The following is a 2490-nucleotide window of genomic DNA, read 5'->3' as shown; positions in this document are numbered from 1 at the left end:
TCACAATGCTGCAACCCACTCAGAGTAAAAACCAAACCTCTCAATAGCAAGAGGCCTCCCATGACATACACCCAATGCCATGCTGTCAACCCATGCCCCTGAGCTCCCACCAAGGTACCAAGATTCCACCCTCCTTGCTGCACCTCCAGCATGGCAGTCATGCTCCTTCCTACGGTTTCCTCTCCTAGAATGTTCTTCCGCATGTCCCGATGGCTTGTCGCCCTTGCTTCATTCAAGTCTCTGCTCAGACAAATATCTGCTTTATCAGTGAAGCCTCCTCCAGCCAGTCTATACACAAAATAAGAAATTCCCTTCCCTTGCTGCTCGTTTGCTTTAGGTCCCCTACCCTGCTTCATTTTCCTGCCTAACATTTATCACTCTCTGACATGCACATTTTTGTCCAGATTTTAGAAATATCTATATTCTTAACTTATTAACATTGTTTATAGTGGGTCTCCCCATGCTAGAATGTGAGCTCCATGAAGGTAAGAACTTTGTCTTGTTCTCCACTGTGTCCCCATTGCCCACGTCAAATTAGCATCTCAGTAAGGATTTGTTAGATGATAAATGAATGACTTAAACGATTCTAAACAGAAGGGGAATAGAATCAGATGGCAGCATTGTTGAGAACAGATTAAAGAAGAGCTAAACCAAGGAGGCCAAGTAGCAGGTCACTTAGTTAAACCAATCCCAATCCGGGCCTGAGCTAATGATGGGGCAGAGGGGAGGGTCGGCGGGATGGAGGGAGGGCAAGAGGTATTGACGAGCTTAACTCTACAAATCTTGGAACTGACTGAATGCAGAGGTGAGTGAGTGAGTGAAGTGGGGAGGACTGCTGGTTTGCAGGAGCGAAACAGAGGGGCATCGTTCACTGAGTTCCACTAGGACAGGCTAGGAGGAGGATGGTTGGGGGCGGGGGTCAGAGGAAGAGGAGGGGTTGAGATTTCCACCTGGTGACCTCTGCTCACAGTGTGAAATAGATTTTTTAAAGTTTGCTGAAAATAAGGGAGGTGTAATGAAACAAGAAAAAAACTACTGTGAAGGCTAAATGAGAAAGCTCCTAAGTGCTACATTAAAGGACAGACATCAAGGGCAGCCTTGAAAAGAGAAAAGTCTCACTGCCAAGTCTTGGGCTTGGGTGTGAATCCAGCATGTGGTGAATACAGGCTGACCTGGGGAAGGATCCAGGCCTGCGCTTATATCTCACCTCGGGAAACTGACTCCACCTTGTTGAGCCTCACTTTTTGTACGAAAAGGGATGAGCAGGTTCTAGCATGCCCAGCCAAGGTGCAGCTGAAATAAGATTAACATGCCTGAAACTGGCACAGAGCCTGGGCCTGGTGGATCCAGACTGTGTGGGGCTCAGAGTGCTTACAATTTGGAGAGCACTGTCTAAAGACTAGAAGAGAAAGTGAAAGTGAATGCGTACTTAGAAAGAGAAAAGGAATCACCATAAATTACATATTTTTAAGCTGCCAAATGCCATATGCATCACAAAATACAGAAAAATAACCCAATATTTTTATTAATAGCCTGATGAACCTCCATAATATTTTTCCCATATTTGGCTGCACAGTCTTTATCACTTCTTTATATGACAATGATTTTGTAATATGATTTTTATAGAGAGAATAAAAAGATAATTTAGCCTTTGCTCTACTTCAATTGAACAAAACTTGTTTTATATTATTGATAGCTGGATGCATTAAGCATTAAACACAGCCATATTTCTGTTTATAATATGGCTACGGGTTTGTACCCTAAAAATACAAGAATTGTGATCCATTCTATTTCTCACATTTTTCTCACGTTTTTCTCACACCAAGAAAAATGTATGGTGGGTTTATACACGGCGATTTGTGTTTCATTATTAAGTATATTCCTGACAGAAAAGAGCTTCCGTTTTCACCAGTCATTGATGACACCAGATTCTGCCTCTGTACATTTCAAATCTTGTGTCTCCCTCATCGGTCACCTATTTCTGATGCTGATGCCAGGCCCTGTAGAGCGTGTTGCTGTTGTGATACAACGCCTGGGCTCTGAGTTTTGTCCCCCATGCTGGGTGTCAGCCGGTGGACAGTACATGTATTCTGGGAAGCTGTCTCTACACTGGGATGGTTAGCAAGAACATAACTGGGCATGAAGTGACTGCAGACCAGGAAACCAAAACCAAATGTTGTCCCAACCCAATTTCCCTTAACGAGGTCCCCAAAATACTAGTGGCCATCTTTAAACACACCCACTACTCAATACTAAAGGAAGTACCTATCAAAAGGGGAAGTAGGAGCAAACAAAAACAGTGATCATAACTAACTGCACTTAAATATCTTATTTTTCCAAACTTTACAAAACACGTGGCCATGTGAACATATTACTTAGGTGCTACAGGGTCTTGGAAAGGATCTGTGCAAATGTGGGCCCTAAAGCTCAAGGTTCATTAGCCTCATGGTAAACCTGCATCTAGTTGTAACCATAACAGGCATTCAACAA

The 2490-nt window shown here is 43.3% G+C and overlaps 2 annotated features.

Moving 5' to 3' along the window:
- Positions 1139-1208: an enhancer, noted in NCBI's record as "active region_16791". NCBI's record gives its function as "activates an Ori minimal core promoter by ATAC-STARR-seq in GM12878 lymphoblastoid cells {active_cell/tissue: GM12878}" and the evidence as "EXISTENCE:reporter gene assay evidence [ECO:0000049][PMID:35858748]".
- Positions 1299-1408: an enhancer, noted in NCBI's record as "active region_16790". NCBI's record gives its function as "activates an Ori minimal core promoter by ATAC-STARR-seq in GM12878 lymphoblastoid cells {active_cell/tissue: GM12878}" and the evidence as "EXISTENCE:reporter gene assay evidence [ECO:0000049][PMID:35858748]".

The sequence above is a fragment of the Homo sapiens genome, chromosome 2, assembly GCF_000001405.40.
Source record: "Homo sapiens chromosome 2, GRCh38.p14 Primary Assembly".
NCBI lineage: Eukaryota > Metazoa > Chordata > Mammalia > Primates > Hominidae > Homo > Homo sapiens.
Note: the sequence above shows the minus strand (reverse complement) of the source record. Positions and strands in the feature narration are given on the sequence as shown.